The following is a 2,576-nucleotide window of genomic DNA, read 5'->3' on the forward strand; positions in this document are numbered from 1 at the left end:
AGTCTCAGTTTTAAACTAATGATAATATATAGATAAATATATTTCTTGCAAACTCATTCTTTTAAATACTGTGAAAGATAATTTTTACAGCCTGAACTGAGCCAGTGGTAATTTTTAAAGTCATCTTCAGTTGAAAGTACCTGTTTTCACCTTTCACAATTGGCAGGGGTTTTGTTATTATATACAACACTCATAACTTGCTTGAGAGAATCGCTAAAGTGACTTTTCCCAAAAATAAATGAACATTTTCTTTTGGTTTTGTTTTCAAAATTAGTCAAAGTGGGAGTTGATCTCCCTTTAAATTGCAATAAAACATCAAAGACTTCAAGCCTTGCATACAGTGTTCATGACATAAAGGGAACATTAAACACTCAGTCTAATGTAAAATAATTATAAATCAGTTGGCAAATGTAACCACACATACTACTTCTTTTATGTATTTACACTATTAATTTGGATAAGAAGACTAAGATCATTTAATAATTTTTCTTGATATGTGAAATATGATATATTTAATGTTTCATTATAAATAGGATTATATGTTTTGTTCCCTATAGGAAATTTTTTAAGCCAGAAAACGTATTATTAATGCATAATAGCAGTAATAATTATTATTATAATTATAAAAACTCAGGAAACTCAGACAAGCACAGTTCCTATTGAATTCATGATCTTTATAAAAAATAATTTTCTTGTGAACAGCTTATGTTTCCTTAAAACACATAATAAATTTTTTATAAATAATTTTTACCTACATCTTAGAGAATCCTTTTCTCCAAACCATTCCATTTTCTTCCTAATACCCTCTTCCAAACGCCACCAAGGATGGCAAATGACCATGTTTCAGTTCTGCAGTTTGTAGAGGAAAGCTCAATGTAGTCACCCTTATTCCCTGAATAAAATTAGATGGTTTGGTTATGTTGCTTTTACAAAGAAGGTAATGATGAAGTGTAAAAAGTCATGTGTAATGTGATGTAGAAAAGTAGCAGAGGCCAGAAACACAGGATCTTGGTTACTATTCAATACCTGGTTCTTTCCATATTTTCTCTTATTTCCCCTTTGGAAATTTCCCTCTGGGTGGTATATATCCTGTGTTTTCCAATAACATAAAAATATTATCTTGCCTGCCATGAGGAAGATTTGGTATGTAAAAATACATTGAGGGCAATGTTATAGTGTGTTGGACCCTAAGAAATTGAAGGAAAATCAGAACACAATATTAATTTGTGAATACAATATTTAAGATGAGAGAAATAAAAAACACATTTTGATATTAGGAGGCCATGGATATTACCAAGGAAACATGCTATGGCATATAAAATATGGGTTTTTACAAGCATTTTAACAATACATTCAGATAATTCTATATTTCTTTTATTTAGCTCTTCAATAATTACACAGTGAGCTTCTATATGTGCTACTAGGCAATAAGGAATACCGTAGTGAAAAAAAATTTCTTACATTTGTAGACTGTAAAGTCATTTTTGAGCACAAATACATTGTTAAAATCCTATAAAGAATATCCTTACAATTTGGTATGTGTATGGAAGGAACACTTCAAGCGACTAGGAGACCATATGTTATGAAAGATAAGATACTTTGACATTACCATGTAATTATACATATATCAGTGGGAAAGCAAATGGAATTAACAAGGTCTGACTAATGACTATTGTTTGTATATTGTCCCAAATCTAAGTAATCTATCTCAAAAGAGAAAAAAGAAAAGGTAATATTTGTAGAAAATCTTTGGAGATCTTGTTAGTTGTCTATATTTTGGTTAATGATTCAGAACAAATGAAAGAAAGCAATACATTTCTTCTCACTGCCTAGTATATAAAACAAGTGCTGTAATTAGATGCTATGATTATGTTTGGTTTAAATTACTTGGAAGGAATTATAACTGAAGAACTTCTATTAATGACAATGGATTTAAGTGGCTCAGAATCTCTATGAATGATATAATCATAAAAGCTGTACTAAGAAAAAAACACATAAAGGTTTTACAAAGTGTTCCATTACAGATAGATAGCAGAAGAGAGCTGGTTCCTTAATACAACTCCAGCTGGAAGGAGTAAGATGAACACACAATAATCATACAAAATTTGTATATAAATAAATACTTAAAATAGCATTGTGCCTTAAACTGGAAATAACAAATTGTCTATGAACAATAATGTTATAGTCTCAATGCTATAATATTCAGCAATAAAAAGGAATGAATTATGTATACATATAACAAAAACAAATGTTAATACTGATATACTGAGTGAAAGAAGCAACACACAAAAGAATATATATTATGATTTTAGTTATATGAATTTCTGGACTCAACAAACTCATCTATAGTACAAATAGCAGATGAGTCATTGCCTGTGGTTGTGGGAGAGAAGTGATGTTATAGTCTACATGTGTCTCCCCAAAATTTATATATTGAAATCTTAACCCATCAATGTAATGGTATTAGGAGATGAGGCCTTTGGGAGCTGGCGTAGCTCATGAGGGTCAGGCCCTCATGAATGGGATTCATGTCCTTATAAAAGAGACCCCAGGAAGCTCTCTCACTCTATTTCCAC

The sequence above is a fragment of the Homo sapiens genome, chromosome 4, assembly GCF_000001405.40.
Source record: "Homo sapiens chromosome 4, GRCh38.p14 Primary Assembly".
Lineage (NCBI taxonomy): Eukaryota > Metazoa > Chordata > Mammalia > Primates > Hominidae > Homo > Homo sapiens.